The 23,783-nt window shown below is 38.9% G+C and overlaps 1 protein-coding gene and 1 long non-coding RNA gene across 4 annotated transcripts in view, besides 1 other annotated feature; one reads left to right on the forward strand and one right to left on the reverse strand.

The window, feature by feature from the left end:
* LOC101927840 (uncharacterized) lies at positions 1-8,442 on the reverse strand. The gene is made up of 4 exons (XR_427213.4): positions 8,201-8,442; positions 5,001-5,072; positions 3,792-3,885; positions 1-181 (listed from the first exon to the last, which is right to left on the reverse strand). It is a non-coding gene; the product is annotated as an uncharacterized LOC101927840 (long non-coding RNA).
* ICOS (inducible T cell costimulator) overlaps positions 4,447-23,783 on the forward strand; it is a 24,815-nt gene continuing 5,478 nt past the window's right edge. For 2 of the 3 annotated variants that reach the window (XR_007073112.1, NM_012092.4), the window contains exons 1-2: positions 4,447-4,556; positions 23,320-23,655. Coding sequence is in view for 2 of the 3 variants with exons in the window: in NM_012092.4 (NP_036224.1) it covers positions 4,499-4,556; positions 23,320-23,655 (394 nt within the window). In the remaining variant the exon portion in view is untranslated. Of the gene's footprint in view, positions 4,557-4,584; positions 8,180-23,319; positions 23,656-23,783 lie in introns of those variants that run through there. The other variant, XM_047444022.1, reaches the window with a different exon arrangement.
* Positions 11,007-12,206: an enhancer, noted in NCBI's record as "MED14-independent group 3 enhancer chr2:204808046-204809245 (GRCh37/hg19 assembly coordinates)". NCBI's record gives its function as "activates an origin of replication core promoter dependent on BRD2, BRD4, P300/CBP and CDK7 cofactors, and independent of MED14, by STARR-seq in HCT116 cells {active_cell/tissue: HCT116}" and the evidence as "EXISTENCE:reporter gene assay evidence [ECO:0000049][PMID:35650434]".

The raw sequence follows: 23,783 nt of genomic DNA on the forward strand, positions 1-23,783 counted from the left end.
TCGGGAGGCTGAGGCAGGAGAATCGCTTGAACTCGGGAGGTGGAGGTTGCAGCGAGCTGAGAGGTTGCCACCGCAGTCCAGCGTGGTGACAGAGTGAGACTCCGTCTCAAACAAACAGTAACAAAAAAACCCGAAGACATCTTCAGTTCTTGTTCTGATGTTTCTCACAGTTTAGTAGAAGCTGTTGGAAAGCAAACAGGCCATTACAGTGGTATAATTGTTACAATTGTTACAGGTAGCTAGACAAGCATGAGCTGGGCAGGAGAGGGCTCTTCCCCCACTCATAGGAATGCTGGGTGATGGTTTGGCAATTATCACATTGCCTCTCTAAAAGTGATAAATTGGCAGCTGGTGCCAGGGAGAGGTCATTTCCTGATGGTCCACACCTGTTGCACTAAAGTGTTAATTGAATGCGGGTACCAGGTAGAAGCAACTTCCTGGGCCTGCGCATTAAGAGACAAAATGGCCTCTGGAGGCACACCACCAGAAAAGGGAAGAAAGCCTCAGATGAGCACACGTACAGTTTCCTAAACACACTGCATGTGCTCACCTCCTAAGGGTAAGGAGGGCACTGCACATGCGGGCAGCCCACCCTAAGGGAAGAATCCTGTGAAAGAGGCCAGCCTATAAAGTCCTAAAATCAAGGTTAAACACCACACTTGACCTTGGGCCTCTTCCAAGCACATGCTCCTTTTTTCTGTTCTAAAGCTTTTTAAAATAAACTTCTATTCCTGCTCTGAAACTTGCCTCGGTCTGTATTTCTGCCTTATGCTTCTCAGTCAAATTCTTTGTTCTGAAGAGGCAAGAAATGAGGTTGCTGCAGACCTGTACAGATTTTCTGCTGGTAACTAAGATACCTTCCACCGATAACATAATGATTTCTAGGATGGGGGACACAGAGGAGCATTGGGAGGTTGCAGAAAAGCCACTAAATGGACACTAGTTATGGGGGTGGTTGGGAGTGAATGACATTGGTTTGATGTCTTTGATGAATCGATGGGTATGGAAGCAAAGGCCTGAAGAATGGTGGAATATCTGCCAAAGAAGGTAGGCTAGAGTGGTGAGGAGGGGAAGCACAGACAAAATGATGGCTCCTGGCAGTAGAAGGAAGAGTTAGTTTGGGGAATTTGGAGAACTTCATGTCATTCAACGTGATGGAAACATTTGGTACAGAAGGAAGAAAGAACAAATGTGGCAAGAGATGAGGCCGAACTGGGGAAGGAGTTGCCCTTCATAAGGAATCTTGAAGGGGTGTGGGCCTTACCTAAGAGAGGAAGCCAGTGGAGGATCCTGGGTGGGGCGGGGACACAGATGAATTCTATTTACATTTTACAAAGATTACTCTGGTTGTAGCATGAAGACAGACCAAAATGGGACAAGGGTGGGAATAGAAATGACAGAGGCCTGATCTAAGTCAGTGACCTTGGCAAGCGAGGAGGAAAAAATACTTGAGAGACAGTTAGGAAGTAGAGTAATTGGGGTTTATCGGTGAATCAGCAGGAAAAGGGAGAAGGCTGGTTGGTGGTACCACTCAACAGTATAGGCAAGGTAGGAGTTGAAGCAATTGTGATTAGGAAGGACCTCTCACTTTTGATGCTTGTCCCTTTCAGAATGGCAAACCAAGCTTAGGTGAAGCCTAGATATTTGGGGGTTACTTTCTAACCCTATTGCTTGGACTCAACCATGCTGGTGTCTGAGCTCCTCTACTCAGACAAATGTTGCTTTCAGTAAGTTGCAAGCAAAGCAAAAGAAAGACATTCACCTACGGCCCTTCAGAAAAGCAAGCATGCTGCATGATGAACTCTGGTGCCCAGGAGGCAAGAAATAAAAAACACTTTTAATGTAACCAACTTTCCATGCCCCACCCTCACCCCAGGCGTCTGCATACACAAATCAAAACCATCTTAAGTCATGGAATGAAAAAAAATTAAAAGCAAACTAAAAGCACTTCCTGTGAGGTGAATGGAAATTTTTGCCCAGTTAATTTTCCAGGCACGTGAAAGCAGTTCTGAATATTTTAAACCACAAGTACTTGTATTCTTGACCAAGATTTTTGAGAAGGCGAGGCATGGGAAGGATCATTGAAACAGGACTTTGACATAAAACATTGTTTACATAGAAGTGAGCTCTTCTCCACTATCGGATCAATTTACCACCCAGTGTCTGACAAACTGAGAAGCGAGAGGGTTGGGAAAAAGCAAAGAGATACATATCAAACAAAACCACACATATCCAGTTGAACTAAAGCTGAATTTAACCATAACTTGTGCAACTTTTCTCCCCTTGAGGTAGAAACATTACACCTCCAATTGACCAGGACATCTTTTTTTGCATTCAAATTATCTTGGAATTTCCTCTAGGACCTAAGTATCCTTCCACCATGAAAATAGGAGACCAAAAAAAGTAATGCTTCCAGTAATTTCTAGCCAAATAAATGAGGATAAGTGTGTGAGTGTGGTGGGGTAGTTAAGAGTTTGGAATCCAGAGTTTCACTGTCTGGATTTGAACAGGCTCCGTTGCTCATCAGCTCTGTGACTCCGGGCAAATGACTGAATCTCTCTAACTCTCAGTTTTCTCATCTATGAAATGAGAATAAGTAACAGACTCTCCCTCGCTGAGTTGTTTGAGAACGGGATCAGACAATGCACGTGGAGCCCCGTGTCTGGCACACACTATGTCCTCATTGCATATTTATTATTAGGTTTCTGCTTTGTATTTTTCTCTGTGCAACAGCCCTGAGCTCTAGAACTTATGACAGCTTTTCTCAAGTGAAGTTAAAGTTCCCCATACTCAGTTCCAGAGCTAGGCCTCACCTAGGTTGGAAGAAGTCAATTGTTCTCCACTGCCTGCCTGTGTGCTGGGAAAGGACTCTAGCACAGTGCCGGTGGGGCTGGAAGCCTTTCCTCATGATGCTACGGGGAGTACAGTGAAAAGGGAGGAGATTGGGGTAGCAAGGTCCCAGGGGTCCTGGCAGCCCAGGCTCTACTTCTCAGGCTAGCTCAGTCCCTCAAACAGCTTCCTTCACACCCACTGCTGAGACCCAGGAGCCCTACAGAAGGTAGCTAGGGGAAGCTTCAGCAGCTAGGGGGATCCCTGCAGGATCAGCCTCCTCCTTACCTTGCAGACCCCTTGGCTGTGGTCTGGCATTCCTAGTGGCTGGCCTAAAGCCCCAAACCTGGAATCTGTTTCAGAGCCTGGACCTTTTGGACTCACACCTTGGTTTCCCTGGCCAGCTGATTTCAGCTTCTCATCTAAATGTCATTTCTGCAGGCTAAGGGAAGTCCAGCCTGGATCTAGCATCTTGGAAGCGCGTTCAGACTTCTGGATGGAGGGATCAGCAGGCCTTGGTATTGGTGGTTCTACCTGCTTCGGTTAAGAGTGAGGACTCTGGAGCCAGACTCTCTAAATCATAGCACTGACACTTACTATATGACTTGGGCCAGGTTCGTTACCTGTCTGTGCCTCAGTTTTCCTCATCTGTAAAATGGGAGATTAGTGGTCACCATTGGGATGATTAAGAAGATTAAATGAGTTAATGTATGTATAAACTATAGTTATAATGTAAATATATATACAAACAGTAACCATTTACATGCATATAAAACATAATATAAATGTAATATTAGCTATATTCATATATAAAAATAGGTATATTTTATATATAAAATATATTACATTTAATTTTTTACATTTTGCATTAAGATATATTATTTCATATAAAACATTTAAGTACATATACATATAATTATCTATGTAATTATTATTGTTATTGTTGTTATTGTCTACTTTACCTCCCTGCAGGGATGGGGAGACCACGGCAGGCTTTTAAACATTCTTGGTCTCACTGAGCCGTAGGTGAGGAATCCCTGGTTCCTACAGACTCTGCTGTAATATGAGGAGCAGGGTTTAAGTTAGTTTAAAACTGACCCCATCATTTGAAACATTGCAATCTACAATGAATGCCACATAAATATCATTTCTCAGATTCCTATGATGCTCTTCTTTCAGATCTTTTCACTTCAATTTCTATAATAATTTTGTTTGTTTCTTGTCCTATTTCAAAGGCTTTCTTATCTCTGGAGCACCTAGCATAAGATAGAAATGTGTCAAAATATATGTTTTATTCATCATGTGAGTATTTTTAGGTCCTGTTAACCCCCATAACTATTGATTCAGAGAAGTAGGGTGGTTCTGAAAAATACAGGCATAATCTCTTTAACTTGTTTTATAGGAACCAGAATAAGGGTAATGTTTTCCTCTGTCTTCAAAATCATCAATAATCCATGCATTGTTTAACTCATGTCATAAGCAATAATGCCTTTCATATAGCCATTGGCATCAAAGAAGAAACACCCCCTTGATTTGATGGTAAGCGTGACACTACATAAACTCCCAGAAAACCCACTTCCTTTCCAGCAAATAGAAAACAACCGAGAGCCTGAATTCACTGTCAGCTTTGAACACTGAACGCGAGGACTGTTAACTGTTTCTGGCAAACATGAAGTCAGGCCTCTGGTATTTCTTTCTCTTCTGCTTGCGCATTAAAGTTTTAACAGGTAAGTGGTGTATTGAATATTTCTTATTAAGTTATAATTCAAGTAAACATTAAGAAAAAGCAAAGGTAGAAAAATTACGCACCCAAAAGACAGTGGTTTTGGTTTTTGAAAGTAGGAATAGTTTCAGGATATGGCCAAGGGCACCATGTCACTCATGTCACTGTGGATGGCATTGAGTTTGCATTGCTGCCTTTGATACTGTGTCTTGAGATGAAAAACATGTTTCATCAGACCATTAAATTTTTAAATTACCTGCTTGGAGTTACCTGTCAGTGGATAAACTAGCAGAGTGGCTTACTGTTCTTAGAGAAAGATGAAAGGCAAAATGACTTGTGTCAACAGAATGAAAATTAAATAGCTCTGGCATTTGGACTGGGAATTCTTTCTGTGGTAGAAAATAAAATGGGAAGTCTTTGAAAAGAAGGATTTTGATTTTAATCTTACCTGGATGATCTGTTATCTGAAATGTCCAGGGCACCATAGAGTTTTTATTGACACTAAGTATCAGAGTTCACCCTAAAAAGCCAAGGAGGAAAGGATAATGTAAAAATACTTCCTAGCCCCTGTAGACCTTACAAAAAAGATCATTCTGGAGTCCCTGATTCCTTCTCTTGAATGGCATATAGCAGACTCTATATGGACAATTTAAATAATGCTACATACAATGTAAGTTAATACACGTGTTTCTGCTGCTTTTTACTGTATATAATTTGTACTACTTTTGTTTTCTCTTTCACACTGAGCCCTATTCTTGAGGTTGAAAAAAGGAAAGTTAAGTAATATTAAATAACTTAAATAATCAAATAAACTAAAAGTGAAGGCAGAACTTTTAGTAGGTATGATCCTATCTAGGGATACATTTTTTCAGTGGCAAAAAAATAGACCTTACTGTTCTTACAAAAAATGAAAAAAAAATGAAATCAAATTGATCAAATGTTTCATCTTGTGCTGGCTCAAAGTGAGTTAAGTGCAGTTAAGAGGATTGAGGAATGTAGAATGAGCACAAGGACAGTTTTGGGCTACTTGCTGGTTTATGCCTTTTCTAGAATCTCATGAAGTCCTTTAGCGGCATGAATGACATGAGCAGCTTTGGAATTTATATTCATTCTTCATTCATCCATTTACTCATGTAGCATTGAGCACCTGCCTGGTAGCAGGTACTGTGCCAGATGGTGTATGTACAAGGATGAGCAAAACCAGGTCAACCCCTGTTCTTTGGAAGGTAACTGCATGGTAGAGAGAGATATATTAATCAAATAATCCCATTGATTAATGATAATTACAGGCAAAACTCAATTATATGAGGGAATGTAACAAGGAGCTTGACTAGACTGGGTGGGTGTGGAGGTGTAGCTGAGGAGCAGGGTTCATTGAAGTCTTTCCTGTGCAAGTGGCACTTGAGCGGAGATTTCAAGGACAAGGTAGCAATCAATGGGGAGAACGGTATGAAGGTAGGGAAGAACGTTCCATACCATGGAAGGAACAAGTGCAAAGAGCCTGTGGCAGGAAGGAATGAGGTAAGGTTAGGGAACTAGAAGAAAGCAGACAGATGTGCCTGAGCACAAAGAGGGAAGAGGCTGAGCTTGGTCCAAGATGACCAACTGGTCCAAGTTGGTCCAAGGTGAGGCTGGAAAGGAAAGTAGAGGCCAGACCATTCAGACCATATAGTCTATGTTCCAGATTTTGGATATTCTTCCAAGAACGTTGGTACCATTCGTGGAAGGGTTTGTTTGTATTGATAAAAATCATTCAACTAGGCCAAACCAATTTGGGCAGTTCTGGTTGTGGTATTATGCTCAGGAGAATTAAAGTAGCATCGGTGTCAATTCTGTGGAAGGTGAGATCCAGCCTTAGGTAGGATTGTTTTAAGTTTCCAGATTAAGCTGACGAATAATTTGTATTCTGGAACAATATTCATCGTAGATTCTAAATGAATACAACCAATGTTCACTCTCATTATAAAGAAAGCCATGAGATGTGGCATGCTGTTTGGCATGTGGCAAACCTGAGGCACGAGTGGCTAAATGGTAACAATAAATCTGCTAGCAATGATCCTATTTAAAATATCTCCACAATGCATGTATCCAGAAACTGCCATGTAAAAGCTCTAAAGAAAAAGAGCCAAACTCAAGTAAACTAAGTACTTGCTTGTCCTCTGTTGTATTTTCAATCCTCCCAATTTACATAGGCTTTCTCATGCCATGAAGATGTAGGCATTCTTACCTTTAGTCAGTGTTTGAAGAATTTCCAACCAGGAAAGGTTAAGTGATTTGTTACACAGTAGTTGGTGGCAGAACCAAAGTTAGAACTCTAATGTGACTCCAACATCTACATTCTTTCTAAACTGTGTTGAAGTAGTGGAGGTGTAACATAAATCTAAAGGAACGTAAATCTCAATGATTCTGATCACCTTTGTTATTTGGTTGTGAATTAAGAAGGATGGGAATCTTGCTGATTTCTAGTCTTTGATGGATCTCAATGTAGAATTTAACAAAGTCTTGTTTTTTTTTAATGAACTTGGAGCAATAGGACACTTTTAATTATAAAAATATCTACGAAAAATGTGAATGTCTAACTACATTTTGAAGACCCTCTTTGTAGACCTTATAGGCAACAGGGACCATATGAGTGATGGGACAAATTCTGGTTTTAGAAAGACTACTTTAAAAGCAGTGTGGATAATACACCAGATTGGGAAGGGCTGATGGCAGAGGGTGTCTAATAAACGTGCATGTATTATGATGTGTTCTGTGAGGAAGCTGGGAGGATAGCCCTCAAGGCCACTTTGAGCCTTCCTTTGTCACTGAGGCATTCCATTAGTGACTCCTGAATTCCACTTGGGAAAAGAGCCCCTCAGTGTCTCCAGCGTCTGAGAGAAGTCTGTGAAGATGACTGACCTTGGAGCCCCTCTTAGCCTCTCCACGACTGAGTAAATGTCATCTCCTGACAGCACCCCCTTCCAGAGTGTTCTTGTTAGATTTAACAAAAATCCCAGTTGTCAATTTTTTCTTTTGATAGATGAATTCAGGCCATTCCCAGTCAGCATAAGCCTCTACTTGATTTTATTTCTATGTTTATTTACTACTTATTTTTCTTTGTTGTATCCTCTTTTTCTCTTTTATTTTTGTTGGTGTGATGAAATTTCTTTTGACTCTCCTCTTTGCCTCCGGTTAATTTGGAAGGTCGACTACAGTTCTTAATTTACTAAGTAATTGACATGTTCAAAGAATCTTAATTGAATGTCTACTTGTTTATCATTGTATGAAAATAATGAAAATGCCTTTGTCTGATGTGCCTAGTCCCCATCCCCTGCACTGATATGAGAACTTAAGAATGTTCTTCCTTTCCCACTCTCACACTTCCCCCAGACAGTGCACCCTGCTCCATACGTGGGTTTTGTGGAAATAATTTAAAACTTACAGTTGCAGATCATTGCTAGGTTTCCTCTTACAGTATTTCTCTTCTGTTTCAAGAATCCTTTCTTAACACTTACATCACATACGTTCAATGACAACATCATTCTGGACATCTGCTCCTGTCTTGTGATCTCTGTTCTAATCTAATGATCAGAAGACTTCTCTTATTTTCGTTAAATACCCCCAACTCTCTGAATTCCAGTACAGGTAAGGGTGTCTTCCTTTTACCTTGATGAGTGACTGATATCTTTCCTGGGAATAGGAGTCCTGGATGGCAGCCTTTCTTCTTAGTGGTTGCAGATATTCCTCCACTGTCTGCTGGCTTCTAGGGTTGTGGGTGAAGAGTTTGATGGTAGTCTAACTCTCATTCCTTTGTAAAAAAAAAAAAAACTCTAGAATTTCATAATCTTGAAAGCTATTTACTTCAGTATTGGAATTCAGGAATTCCTCCAGGATATGTGTAACTCTCTCCCTCTGTTTCTCTTTCTGTGTGTTTCTATTAATTTTTTTTTTGAGGCGGAGTCTCACTCTGTCGCCCAGGCTGGAGTGCAGTGGCGCAATCTCGGCTTACTGCAACCTCCACCTCCCGGGTTGAAGCGATTCTCCTGCCTCAGCCTCCCAAGTAGGTGAGACTACAGGCACCCGCCACCACGCCTGGCTAATTTTTTTGTATTTTTCGTAGAGACGGGGTTTCACCGTGTTAGCCAGGATGGTCTCAATTTCCTGACCTCGTGATCCGCCCACCTCCGCCTCCGCCTCCGCCTCCCAAAGTGCTGGGATTACAGGCGTGAGCCACCGCGCCCCGCTGTTCTATTAATTTATTATTATTTTTTTTAAGACTGGGTGAAAGTTTTCAATCTCTAGACTCAAGCTTTATTCTTCATTTCAGTCATTTTTTTCCTAGTATTTGTTTAATCATACCTTATGCTGTTTTTCCCCACTCTTTCTAGAAATGTCTCTTATTCTTATGTAAGATCTTGAGTCCCTTATTTTTTCATCATTTGTGAACAAAATGGCTTTCACAACTTGCTGTTGCTTGTTAACCACAACTCCTTCAGATGAAATGGATATTTCAGTTTTAAGTTACTAGTAGCATATTCCCATTTCTTGGTAGAAACAAAATGCAGGCATGTAGGGGGGACTGAAATTCTTATATTTACTCACTGTAAGATTCATAGCATTATTTGGCTTAAAAAAATTCATCCCAGTATTCACAGTTGTAAACAGCAAAATCTACAACATATACTGCTTCCCTACTCTAAGAATATTGAGTTTTATATGCAAAATGACTTACTGGGCTTTGCAAATTTTTAAAAATGAGTTTTAAAATCATTTGTAGCTTGCAATAACTGAAGAAAAGATCACAATTTCTCTGTAAATGGCATCTCAGTACTACTGCTGTTCTAATAAACTAGGTCTGTCAAATGGCACTTTTTGGTCATTCAAAGTGAAAAAAACATGGCATTTGAAACCTTATAAAAATTCACAATTATATTTTGGAAAGTGGAACTTAAGTATGTAGGGGATATGTCACACAAATTGAAAGTGTTAGTCAAGAAATGATTTTTTTTTTCAATAGTTTGGCCTGTAAGGTTGACCAAAACAGGTAAAGATTTGCAAGTTTAGAGAGTCAGAAACTGGGGATATGAACTTCCTTCTGGTTCATGTATAACATAATGATGCTTGTATCTACTTTGCTTGAGGAAAAAAAAGAAACACGTTGTCCCCAAATAGGGTGATAGACCAGGAGTTTCCATCCAGTTGACCACGAGTGTTGTTAGGATCTGTTTATTTGAGTCATGTTGACACAGACACAGCACTTTCAATAAGCAATTAATGATCATTTAAAGGTAACTTTTTTGAATTTGATAAATAGATTTTTTTTACAGCCTGTATTTGTGTTCTTCTAGGACTTTGCAACAAAGAATCTGTACATGCAAAAACAACAATAACAACAACAAGCTGTCTACTGCACTCACAGTTAAAGTTCTGTTTACTTTGCACTATCTAGGACTAATGCAAAAATCTCATAGATGTGCCTATTTGCACTTATTTAATTATGATGAAATTTACTTCTATATGTGAATCCATTTCTGTACATTTCTACAGGCAGATAAGTGATGGGAAAATCATTAAGAATTTAGACTTCATCAGAGAAGAACCCAGGTACAATGACAGCCCAGCTTAATACATGATGGCTGATGAATGAAAATGTCTAGGGAAATGAGTGTGTTATGTACAATGTAATTTCATATCTAAGTCACTTTAAAATAATTTTTTGATATATAATAACCCTTTCAATCACAGAACACATATGTGGCACCAATGTGAATACTACTTTAAGTATTAAGGTGATAATATATCCAATATACCTAGAAGGAAAATAAATACCTGAAATTCATTTTCATATCTAGCTTAATGTTAAAAGCTTCTTTTTGTTTTTTTATTTCGTAGCAAATCTCTTTAGCTCTGATGCTTTAGTTTCTGTACAATGAGAGGATTGGACTAGATTATTAGGTGAAGAGATTAAGTAAGTGTGTGTACCCTGGTGTCAAATTATCTTATTCTTTTTTCTTTGTTTTTGTTGGACTGGGTTAATTCGAAGACCTTGTCTTCAAGCTCTGAATTTCTTTCTTCTAGTTGTTCAATTCTATTGCTGAGACTTTCCAGAGCATTTCACCTTTCTAAAATTGTGTCCAAAGTTTCCTGAAATTTTTATTGTTTTTTCTTTAAGCTATCTATTTCCTTGAATATTTCTGCCTTCACTTCTTGTATCATTTTTTGCATTTCCTTGCATTGGGCTTCACCTTTCTCTGGTCCCTCCCCGATTAGCTTAATAACTAACCTCCTGAATTCTTTTTCAGGTAGATGAAGAATTTCTTCTTGGTTTGGATCCATTGCTGGTGAACTAGTGTGATTTTTTGGGGGTGTTGAAGAGCCTTGTTTTGTCATATTACCAGAGTTGGTTTTCTGGTTCCTTCTCATTTGGGTAGGTGCTGTCAGAGGGGAGGTCTAGGGCTGAAGGCTGTTCTTCAGATTTTTTTTTTGTCCCATGGAGTGTTCCCTTGATATCATACTTTCCCCTTTTCCTATGTATGTGGCTTCCAGTGAGCCAAACTGCAGTGATTGTTGTCTCTCTTCTGGGTCTAGCCACCCAGCAAATCTACCCGGCTCTGGGCTGGTATTGGGGGTTGTCTGCACAGATTCCTGTGATGTGAACCATCTATGGGTCTCTCAGCCATGGATACCAGTGCTGTTCTGGTGGAGGTGGCGAAGGGTGCAATGGACTCCATGAGGGCCTTTAGCTTTGGTGGTTTAATGCTCTATTTTTGTGCTGGTTGGCCTCCTGCCAGGAGGTGGCGCTTTCCAGAAAGCATCAGCTGTAATAGTATAGAGAGGGTCTGGTGGTGGGTGGGGCCCTAGAACTCCCAGGATTATATGCCCTTTGTGTTCTGCTAACCAGGGTGGGTAGGGAAGGGCAGGGCTAGGCATGTCTGAGCTCAGACTCTCCTTGGGCAGGTCTTGCTGTGGCTGCTGTGGGGGATGTGGGTGAGATTCCCAGGTCACTGGAGTTGTGTACCTAGGAGGATTATGGCTGCCTCTGCTGAGTCATGCAGGTTGTCAGGGAAGTGGGGGAAAACCGGCAGTCACAGGTCTCATCCAGATCCCATGCAAACGGAAGGGCTGGTCTCACTCTAATCATGCCTCCTCTAACCGCCCCAAGTCTGTTTCCAGGCAAAGGGCAAGACTGGCTTGAAAACTTGCCTGAGGCTTTCTGCCTCCCAGCTGTGAAAGAAAAGGGCTTTAGTTTTTCCCCTGCATGTGAAATCTGCATGCTGGATTCACGGCCTCCCCCCAGTTCAGGCCAGGAGACTTCTTGCCCTGTTCAAATAGTTACAAAGTTCAGCTAGAGAATTCCTTCTCCCTGTGGAGTTTTATACCCTGCTCCTCTGGCCACCCTCCAGATGGATCCCTGTGGTGCCTGGCAAGAATGGGCTGCTTGGGGACCCATTGAGCTCCCAGAGCCTTTCTGCAGCTTCCTCTACCCCTGTATTTTGCTCCGTTTGGCTCTCTAACTTGACTCACCTCCAGATAAAGTCGGAAACTTCTCCACAAACAGACGCTCAGCTTCTCCGGTCAGAGTGTGTGTTTGGGAGAGGAGGGTCTCCCTTTCCCGTGAGTCTTTTCTTTTTGACTGGGAAATAAGTATCTCCCAATCTTCAGTAAATAGGATCTTTGCTCTCCTTTTCCCACTCCTCTTCTTGGCCCATTACAAAGATATTTACCAAACATGCTTAGCCTTTATATTCTTCTGTTAATATTAATTCTTTTATTTAATATGATTGAGCTTCCACTATGTTCAAGGTCCTGGGATTTTTTAGGCAACTGTAATGCAGTCCTTATCTTTGTGGAGCTCATGGTTAAATGAGGAAGACAGACAAAAATAATTATGATCCAAGATGCTATGTGCTAAAATATACTGGCCTAAACAAAGTATTATTGGGAGCATAGAAATAAGAGTCTTTGTCTGGTGGTCTTGGAAATAAATATCTCAAGAGAGAAGTTGACATTTAAAATGGTTCTTGAAGAGTGAATGAGAATTTCTTCTCAGATTAAGGGGTAATCAAATATTTTAGTTCATGGTAACAGAAATAATGAAATGTGAAGCATATTCTAGTAGTAAAGAACAGAAGTGTGAAAGAAATGGCCAAAAAGTTCAGTGTGGCTTCAATAGATGGCCTATGAGATTGTGAAAGCATTTTGTGTCAAGCCAGATATATATATTTTAAAACACCTTATAAGCAATAGAACACTAATAGAGACTTTTAAACTGGGGAGTGAAATGCTTTTCTGAAACATAATTTTGGGAGCAGCATGGAGGAGGGATGGGGAGGAGAGAGATCAGTATTGAGAAGGCCAGTCAAGAGGATGCTTCCACAGATAAGGGAAGACATGAAAAAGGTGTGGATTGGCAATGGGAATGGAGAAAAAGAATTGAATTTAAGAGATATTCATGAGCTGGAGTCAACTGGACTTGGTGACCAATTGGATGATGAAAATCAGAGAGAGGAAGAAATGAGGAAGACTCTGAGGTTCCTAGGGTCAGACTAGTGACTCCCTGAAAAGACAGGGTTTGGATTTGGTGAATGAATACAGTCACGTGCCACTTGACGATGGGAATACATTCTGAGAAATGTGTCCTTAGTGATTTTGTTGTGTGAACATCATCGAGCGTACTGACGCAATGATGTCTACTAGATGGCAGAGCCTACTGCACTACCTAGGCTATGTGGAGTAGCCTATTGCTTCTAGGCTACAAACCTGTACAGCATGTTACTGTACTGAATACTGCAGGCCATGGTAGCACAATGGTAAATATTTGTGTAACTAAACACATAAAAGGGACATTAAAAATTTCTGTATTATAATCTTATGGGACCGCCACCATATATACAGTCCATCGTTGACCAACATGTCATTTATGCAGCGCATGACTGTACTGAGCTCAGTTTGGAAAGGCTATACATGATGTGTTAGGGTAAAACCAGATAGTGATGTTGAAAGGAATTTGGAAACAAGGAACTAGAAGTTTGGGCTGGAGAGAAAATGTGGGCTCCTGGGGGTAGACATGAGAGCTGGAGCCATAGGTGCAAATGAGTTCAGGCAGTGAACACCCTGTCCATGTGCCCAAGGAGTTTTGCACAGTAGCTGAGCAATGGCAAGCAATGTGGGTATTCAGAGGTGTGGATAAAATCCTCTCTCCCTCCCACTCTGTGGAAGAGAGTTGGGTTCATTTAATCTCATATGATTTCCCTAGTACAATAGTTTCAAATCAAAGGCAATGAAGTAACTAACAAAATAACTTGTTTGTAAATTAATTGCTTTGTGAATATTGATACAAAGTTTTATAATACCACTGGGATTTTTTCATTTTTCATGAAGAAATCAGTTTTAACTAGGAGAAAATCAATCTTTCATTTTTCTTATTATACACACTTAGAGAACCAAAGGGTTGTTTTGTACCCCCTATGGAGTTCCTTGGAGAGTAAAACAATGCACACATTGTGTGTGTGTTCATGAGCACTCTTTTGGCTTTTTCTCCTCACTTTTCTTCTTCCCATTTTTTTTTTTTTGCTTTCTTTTTTTTTTCTCCAAATGTTAGGCATTTAGGTTAGATTGGGTTTATCTTGTCTATCCTCCCTCCCTTCCTTGCCTCAATTACTTCTTTAGATTATGGGTGCCTTTGAATAGCAATGTAAGTTTAGAAATGATGCATATATAAAAATCTACTAACCAGGGATCTAAAGGTTTTAGCTGGTAGACTCATAAGACATGACATTGCTTTTATGAAAGGTGAGAAAAGTGGTAGGAAGTACTTTTTTTTTTAATGCCAGAATTTCTTAGTAAAACATCAAATATAACTAAAACCTAATATAAACATTGCAATTTTTAGACTTTTGCCTCTTGTGTCACATTCATGTGCTGTGCTAAGCTAACACTTATCATTGTTTGATTACAGAAAATGTGTTTAATAAGCACTATCAATGATTACAAACTCAGGACATCTTATCTTTCCATCACTCTGAGACCTTTGTGGAGGTTTGTGGTTAGAAGTCTGAGTTAAAGAAAATAAAATTACATTTCTGATATCTTGCACGCTCTGCACTGAGTGGGTTCTTTAAATGTTTCCTCCAGAGGATTTTCAACCAGGAACAATACAACTGCTTGCAAAGAGTCCCAGCAGGATGGGTCTGGGCATGAGCATCTTATACTGGTGAAATGAAGTAGTCCAGATATTAAAAGCATCAACTTGCAAATGAACTCATCTGCACTATAGTGCAATTCTCAGGTGAATGACCTTTTCTTCAGAAATTTTCTTAATAGTCCCCCAAAAGAAGAAGAAAATGTTCTTGTGCTTTATAAATTTTGAAAACCTAAAGAGATCACTTAATATAAAGATTTTTATTTTACTCTTGAAAACATTAGTCTATTGATATCAACAGTAATATTATAAAAATTATTATTATTATTATTTTTTGAGACGGAGTCTTGCTCTGTTGCCAGGCTGGAGTGCAGTGGTGCAATCTCGGCTCACTGCAACCTCTGACTCCCTGGTTCAAGCGATTCTCCTGCCTCAGCCTCCTGAGTAGCTGGGATTACAGGCACACACCACCACGCCCAGCTAATTTTTATATTATTAGTAGAGACGGAGTTTCACCATGTTGGCCAGGATGGTCTCAATCTCTTGACCTCGTGATCCTCCTGCCTCGGCCTCCCAAAGTGCTGGGATTACAGGGCGAGTCACTGCGCCCGGCCTATAAAAATTATTGTTAGCAGCAGTTAACAGTCTTGAGCCTCTACTGGGAAGAATATGCCCTGTTAGACACAGTATTCTATGTGATGAAGAAAATATAGTACCTGTTCTCCAGACTGATTATAATCTAGGGTTTCCAATAAAAAGTAAACAGATATGGTAGCAAAACAAAACCTCATGTTTAATATTCAGATTTTAAGACTCATCACCAGGATCCAAGACCACATATTCCTTTTTGTGATTTTAGTAACATATTAAGTGCTAAAAGATATAAGATGATGTTTATATCACAAACCACTAACATGCTGTGTTTATAAAACATCTTGGTATATTAGAACAACCATTGGTCCAGGGGTTCTTGTCCTGGTCATATATTGGGCAAATGTAATGGCTGCGCTTTGGGACATCCAAGTGAGCAACCAGGTTTGTTGCTCACTTGGATGGAACAAAGTTGTCCTGCCCTCCACAGACATATAAGAGCCAAGAGAATTATCAACTGTCTAAATAAGTATTTATGAACCCAGTGGATATTTGAAGGTAAAGAAAGTTTTTCTTTAAAGCTCAGACAGATAATTTCCATTAGAACATGACATCTCAGTTGGGGTAGTGTCTTGTATGCATGATTGTGTATCTTCATACACTTGTTTCCAGAAGAAAAGCAATAATATGGCATAGCTAACTCTGGGATCATGCCCCAGCTATGAGCTATGTAATCCTGGGCAAGATAGTCACCTTTTCTGGCTCTAGTTTAATTTGATAAATGCAAATGGAAAATGCAAAATGAAAGGTTTAACTTGTCATTTCTAGAAGCCCTTTTGGCTCTTATATTATAAATCCTGTGCTTCATCTCCTCAGATTTAAAATGTCACCGTCTATATATTCATTTGTTCGCCCATCCAACCATGCTTTCATCCATCCAATAAATACTGATTGCAGCTTACAACACACCAGGTATTATTGTAGATACTTGGGATGGATTTGTGAATAAGACCAACAAGGTCCCTGGTTTTAAAGCTTAGAGTGGAGTAGCCAGACAATAAAGAAGAAAACAATCAGATAAACCAGATAATTTCAGACAGTGATAAATGCTTTATGTCAGTTAATGTACTAGATAATGACCTGGATATATTCTTTAGATTGGGTGGCCAGTGGTCACTGAAGAAGTGTCATTACTCTTGAACGATGACAAAGAAGCAGCCATGTGAAAATCAGAGAGAATGTTCTAGGTGGAGAAATGAGAAATTAAAAGCCCTGGGAACCTGCTTTGTGTGTTTGAGGAACAGAAAGAAGGGCAGTGTGACTGTGGTGTAGTGTGTGACTGGTATAAAATGGGGAGAGGTAGGAGAGGTCATGCAAGTCATGGGAAACCAGGGTAAGAACTTAGATTTTACTGTAAGTGGAATGAGAAGCACCTGGAGGTTTTATAAGCAGAACAATGACTCTATTGGATTATGCATGTAAGAAGGTCATTCTGGTTTCTCTGTGGAGAATGGATTGTAAATGGGCAGGAGTAAAAGCAGAAGCTCTTGTAGTCCCAGAGAGAGATGACAATGGTTTGGACCAGTTGAAGCTGAGATGGAGGAGAAGTGGATAGATTCTGTTGGACATAAAACAGAGGTGCTGGAAATTAGGCGTTCTTCCTGCTCACAGATTTTTAGCACTGGTCCTGTAACACTCAGTTGTTAGTGACCACTGTCTAGCTTCCTGTGGTTGCCTGCTTCTATTATACTTCTGTTGATTGTTGCTAGTGACACTTTGACTGTGGATTGAACCAAAAATCTTTCATGCACCCAGGAAGCTGTGTGACCTCGGGCAAATAATTTAATCTGTCTGGGCCTTCAGTTGTCTGTATGTACACAAAAGAGGTCACCAGATCTGACTGTGTATGATGCTGAGAAGAGGTTGAATCATGTTACAGGAAACAAAAAGTGTAAAGCTGAGGGTATTTATAGGATGCCTGAAACATGAAGTGTTGATGAAATTTATTAGCAATGGAAATGGTATGTTAGGAAGCATGAGGAGCATATCAAAGATAGTATGAGAGAGGATGTTTTGGAGAAGATTTTATATTAAAGGTGGTATGGGAAGAAAAGGCAAACATGAGAAAAAGGAAGAAAGAACAAGAAGAGAGAGATTGGTAAGGGGAACACTGACAATTTTTAACTACTGGTATGGCAACAGAATTGACCAAATAGATTTGACACCTTACCAATCAGAGCAGACACTATCTATAAAAGTGGTGCTATCTATCATACCAGCATTCCAGGCTGAGTATTAGACTTGGAGATAAGAACATCCAAGAAGGATGGAGAAAAGATCCTAGATGCTTTTGCAGTTATAAGAAACTAACGTATTCAGATCTTCCTTAAATTGTCTATCCATTAAATGCTTTAGTCATGGTTATAAGGGGCAGTCTCCTTTAATACTATTTTCAAATGTTACCAAAGGCTAAGAAGAATTTGTAATTTGTCATTTGAGCATTGTCTTAGTCCATTTTCTGTTGCTATCACTGAATACCGGAGACTGGGTAATTTATAAAGAAAAGAAATGTATTTCTTACAGTTCTGGAGGCTGGGGCCTAAGTCTAGGGGTCTAGGGGCCTAGGTCTAGGCTGAGGCCTAGGGGCGAAATCTGGTGAGGGCCTTCTTTCTGGTGGGGACACTCATCAGAGGCCCAAGGCAGTACAGAGGATTACATGATGAGGAGGTTCTTGAGAGACAGCCAATCTGGCTGTTTATAACATACTAACTCTCATGATAATTAACCCACTCCTGTGATAACCTATTAATCTGTTAACCCATTAACCCATGAATTGGATTAAGCTATTCATGGGGGTTCTGCCAATCATCTCTTAAAGGCCCCACCTCCCAATTCTATTACACTGGGGATTAATTTTCAATATGAGTGTCAGTCAGAGGGGGACAAACATTCAAGCTATAGCAAGCATATCTGTTCTATATCTGCCAAAATAGTTATGAAATAATTAATTAAATGCTATAGTTAAAAACATTCGAACTGCAGACTTAGAGCTGTCAAGCGGTTTTCCAGATGGAAAGTTTAAACACTGGATATGTGGAAACCTAAGTCAGCCTTCTGATCACTACATTTCATAATAAATAGGCGATCCAGGTAGTTTTTAAGTTAAAGATAAAAAAATGAGTAATTAAGAGCGTCCAGGCCAGGTGCGGTGGCTCACGCTTATAATCCCAGCACTTTGGGAGGCCAAGGTGGGCGGATCGTGAGGTAAAGAGATGGAGACCATCCTGGCCAACACGGTGAAACCCTGTCTCTACTAAAAATACAAAAATTAGCTGAGCATGGTGGCATGTGACTGTAGTCCCAGCTACTTGGGAAGCTGAGGCAGCAGAATCGCTTGAACCTAGGAGGCAGAGGTTGCAGTGAGCTGAGATTGCACCACTGCACTCTAGCCTGCTGGTGACAGAACAAGACTCCATCTCAAAAAAAAAAAAAAGAGTGTCCAATAGAAATGACACTCTGAAATCTTCAGCTGATGTCAGTGGCACACACTCTCAACATGCCATTCAAGAAAAATTGAGGCACGGCATTCCTGGTCCTACCTAAATACTTTTGTGGGCAAGAAAGACAGTCTCCTTTATTTTAATTTATTCTGACTTTCTGGAATAGCCCATTATGATATTGAGACAGAAAGTGGTTAACAGGAACATTGTTTTCCCTTTGGAAGACTTACCCAACAGCAAAGAATTAGCTCTCTCAGTTGTTTGCAGTCTTATCTGGATATATTCTGATGCTGAATCCAGAGAAAGCAGGTGTTAGAAATAACATTAAGATGTTTTTGTTTCACTTCTTCATTTCACGGATGAGGAGGCTGAATTCCACAGGGGTACCCTAGCCACAGAGCCTTGCTAGTGGCAGAGCCAGAATTTGCCTCTGGTTTCCTTGGGATCCACTGCAATGCACTTCCACCACACTGCACCGCCAACCATTCATGTCCTCTTGTGTTTGCCACAGTGCGGGCACAATGGGGGAAAAATCTGCTGAGAAAATCATCTTCGGAAGTAGAAGACAATGCGTCTATGTCTGTGTATACATGGTGACCACAGACGCTTTGGCTCCAAGATCATTGTGGTTTACTTGCTGCCATTCTAAAGTCTCTGGGAAATTTTTTGTGAACATTTCTAAAGGAACTGAGAACCCGTCCACTGATTTTATCTTCTGCAGCAGACGGTAGAGACATACGCATCAAAGCAACAGTGGGGCAACATATTTTACTGTCAGACAAATAAAGCCCCAAGCAAAATACCCTACGTTTTAATCTAATGTAGACTGCACCTGTTCTCATGCCAACAGTTTTTTTTTCTTTGCCTCTGGATAATATTGTTCCTTCCAGTTTTTAAAACGAAGCAAGTATTATTTTCCTTCTGTATGCTTTTAAACATACTTGTTATTATAAAACAAAACATACATATAGAAAAGTGAAAAAAATGTATAATTTAATGAATAATGCTAAAGCATACTATCTTACCCTCATAATCACCACAGGTCAAGAAATACAAGACTGTCAGCACCCCTATTTCCTTCTGATTCCAACTCTTTCTCCCTCTTTAGACAAAACCATTAGGCTGAATTTTGTGATACTAATTCAGATTATATTAACTATTTCTATTTTTTAGTAATTATGGAAGAAATCAAAACATGTATACTTCACTTAGAAAAGTTTCAAATTACATATACCTTCACTATCTTTCTAGACAATGTGCTCTATATTGACAGATGTTTCTTTTAGCACATTGGAGGTATATGTTATAATTCCACTGTATCAGGGCTTTTATTGTTGATGTTGAAACAGTCTAATAGTTGCTCCTTGGAAGGTAATCAGTCTCTTTTCTCTGGCTGCTTTTAGGATTTTCACTAAGATACATCTAGGTGTGCATACTTTTAAAAAATATGCTTGTGAATTGTTGGGATTCTTGAATCTGTGGAGTGTGACTGGGTTCTAACTAATTTTTCCAACCTATCTGCTGGTTCACCAATTTTCTCTTTAACTCTGTCTAATATATATTAAACTTATCTATTGAGTTTTAAATCTCAGTGCATTTTTTTGGCCGATTCTTGTAGGTTCTTTTTCAAATTAGTTGACTTAAATTTTCCTGTGTACTACAGATATTATTACAAGTTTTTCTCTTATTTGCTTAAACATAATAAGCTTAATTACTTTATTTTGGGGACCTGATAATTCAGGTATATAAATCATGAGTTTGTTTTTGTAGTTTGTTGTTTCTGTTGTTCCCTTGTTTTCTTGTATGTCTCATTATTTTTGTGATGTGTTTGCCATTGAATGTGAATATTATTTGTATGAAATTTTTTGAGGCCTAGGATGTAAACCTTTTCTTCTTGTAATAGTTTGCATTTTTACTTTCAAAAGCTGAAGGGTAATAATAATGCAAATCTCCTTAAAGAAAATTCAAGGATTGAGGTTTTCTAACCATTGAAGTCCAGAAGATTTTTCTGGACCATCTAATCTGAATGAGGTCTGGTTTATTTCTTTACCTGTGCTCCAAGAATGTAACTCTTTGGGGTCCCAATTTATTGGGGAGAGGGTTTTCTGCTAGATCACTCACTCTGCAGATTCTGGGAGTTGAGACATAAAAACAAAAGTTTGAATTTGAAAGAACAGCAATGCTTTCCGAGTAAAAGCAGCTTCCAAGCTTTGCCTGTCTCTCGGGGTTCTGGTTCTCTCTTCAAATTTAGCCTGGTAATTTCTCCTCCTTTGTGTCATTCTTTAATGCTTTTAATAATATTTTTGGACATTTGTTCAACATTTTTGGTTGTTTTGGCGTGAGAATTAGTTTGAATAATAGGGACTGCTATAACTGAAGACTAGAACACTTGTGCTTATTTTCACAATCAAATCACCCAAATTGAAGATATATAGGGAAAATATAAATTGAAGCCCAGGGTCATTAAGAAAATAAGTAATTGTGTATCTTAAATAAAATTAAGGCAACTAGTGTAAGTAGAGGTGTGACAAATAGCCCCTCCTGCATAATGCTAATCCTGTTACAAATTTCAGAAAGCAAAATGGCAATACATAGTATTATAACTTTTAAACATTTTGACCAAATGTCATAATATTTACATAAAAGCAAAATGCTGAAAATAATCCCAATATCCAACGTTAGTATTTTAGTTTTAACAAATTATGATAGATTAACATTTTGGCCAATAATATAGTCATTAAAAAGGATAATTATGATGACTAAAAATGAAATGTTTATGACATAAAATAACAATAGCAGAACACAAAATAACATGTTTGCTATAAATAATAAGTATGTTTTTGCAAGATAAAGAGCAAAAATATACAAATAGTATTTCTATTTCACTGTAGAACTAGGTAATTTTTTTCCTTAAAATTTTTTTACACTTACATAGTTTTCTCAAAAACAAAGACCAAGATTTCAAAACTTAGGAAAAAACCAGCATACTAATAATTTTCCCAAACAATTTCAGCATGAAAATTTGTCATATTAAAAAGGAAAATAAAACAAAAAGAAAGAGAAGGCAATGAGCAGTTTGAATTTATAGTCTAATAACTCAGAATCTGCAACCACCAGGCCAAGGTGATTTCAGTTTTTTCCTTCTGTGATTCCCATGTAGCTTGCAAAAACAACCTTGGCTTCCTATAAGCATAAATTTATTTCAGAAAATGAAAAAGTGGGGCTGGGCATGGTGGTTCACGTCTGTAATCCTAGCACTTTAAGAGGCTGAGGCAGGAGGATTGCTTGAGGCCAGGAGTTCAAGACCAGCCTGGGCAACATAGCAAGACCTGTCTCTACAAAATTTCTTTTTCAAAGTTAGCCAGATATGGTGGTGTGTGCCTGTATTCCCAGCTTCTTGGGAGGCTGAGGCAGGAGGGACCCTTGAGTCAAGGAAGTGGAGGCTACAACGAGCTAGGATCATGCCACTGCACTGTAGCCTGGGGAACAGAGTAAACCCTTTTCTCTGAAAAGAAAAGAAAAGAAAAGAAAGAGAGAGAAAAAGTAAACAAAAATCTGGGGCTTTATCTTTATTATCAGGCCTTGATTCAGTTCTCAGTGGATGAGGTTTGGAGAAAATACATTTCTGTCATTTGAAAATGATTAGTCTGTTCTTTTACTCTTTAGCAGGAGGACATAATGTATGTGTGTATATATGTATGTATATGTATACAATTATTTGTATATATACACACACATAGTCTCTATATATTGTAATATACATATACATATAATACATATATTTTAATATATAATATGTAATATACATACATATATAAAATATATATACAATTATTCATTTTTAAACTACTTCGTACTTTTACAAAGTGAGCAATTTCTATCTTTCCTTTTATCTGCTTTACTGATGTACATCAGTGATTATTTACTCATCAGAAGTACACATGGTTCTTGTCAGAGTAGTTTGATCAACAGGTAGACAATTCCTTCTCCCCAAGATATACCTACTAATAAATGAAGTTTTTCCTAAACTTCAACTTTTCCCATATCTCTCTGTTTAGCTAAGTGCTACTAATCCTTTAATTCCAATTTTAAAACTCACTTCCTCAAGGCGGCATTTTCTGATTCTATAATCAAAATTATAACCCACCTGACTCTACCACCTTCATTTAAATAGTACTCCATTCCTATCACAAATTATGTTGCATTACTACATATTTATTCCTTTACCATCTGCCTCCAATATGAAAGCTACCAAAGGACAGAGGCCATACCAGTTTGATTCATACACACTATGTAAATATATTATTTAATATTTAGTATATTCTATATTCACATATGACAAGCAAGTTTCTGGTTAGGATTTTTTTTTCTCTAGGACATAGTTTTATCTTATGTTCTTCCTTGAGGGGTGGAGGGAGAATGTGAAGCTGTTTCATTTTGGTGCAACAGAGATGACTTTATGCATTGAATAAATTGCTTTTATGTTAAAATATAATTATTAGGGCAACATTATAAAATGTCACTTTTGCTTTGTTTTCTTTCTTTTTATGCAGGAGAAATCAATGGTTCTGCCAATTATGAGATGTTTATATTTCACAACGGAGGTGTACAAATTTTATGCAAATATCCTGACATTGTCCAGCAATTTAAAATGCAGTTGCTGAAAGGGGGGCAAATACTCTGCGATCTCACTAAGACAAAAGGAAGTGGAAACACAGTGTCCATTAAGAGTCTGAAATTCTGCCATTCTCAGTTATCCAACAACAGTGTCTCTTTTTTTCTATACAACTTGGACCATTCTCATGCCAACTATTACTTCTGCAACCTATCAATTTTTGATCCTCCTCCTTTTAAAGTAACTCTTACAGGAGGATATTTGCATATTTATGGTAAGACATTGCTTTCATCTTCCAAACTTAAGAGTATATATATGTTTTGACAACTTTTCTCACTAATAAAATCAATTAGACAAATAAATATCTTTTGTGTTGGAGTTCACTTAGATGCAGTTGATGGT

The sequence above is a fragment of the Homo sapiens genome, chromosome 2 (assembly GCF_000001405.40).
Source record: "Homo sapiens chromosome 2, GRCh38.p14 Primary Assembly".
Classification (NCBI taxonomy): domain Eukaryota; kingdom Metazoa; phylum Chordata; class Mammalia; order Primates; family Hominidae; genus Homo; species Homo sapiens.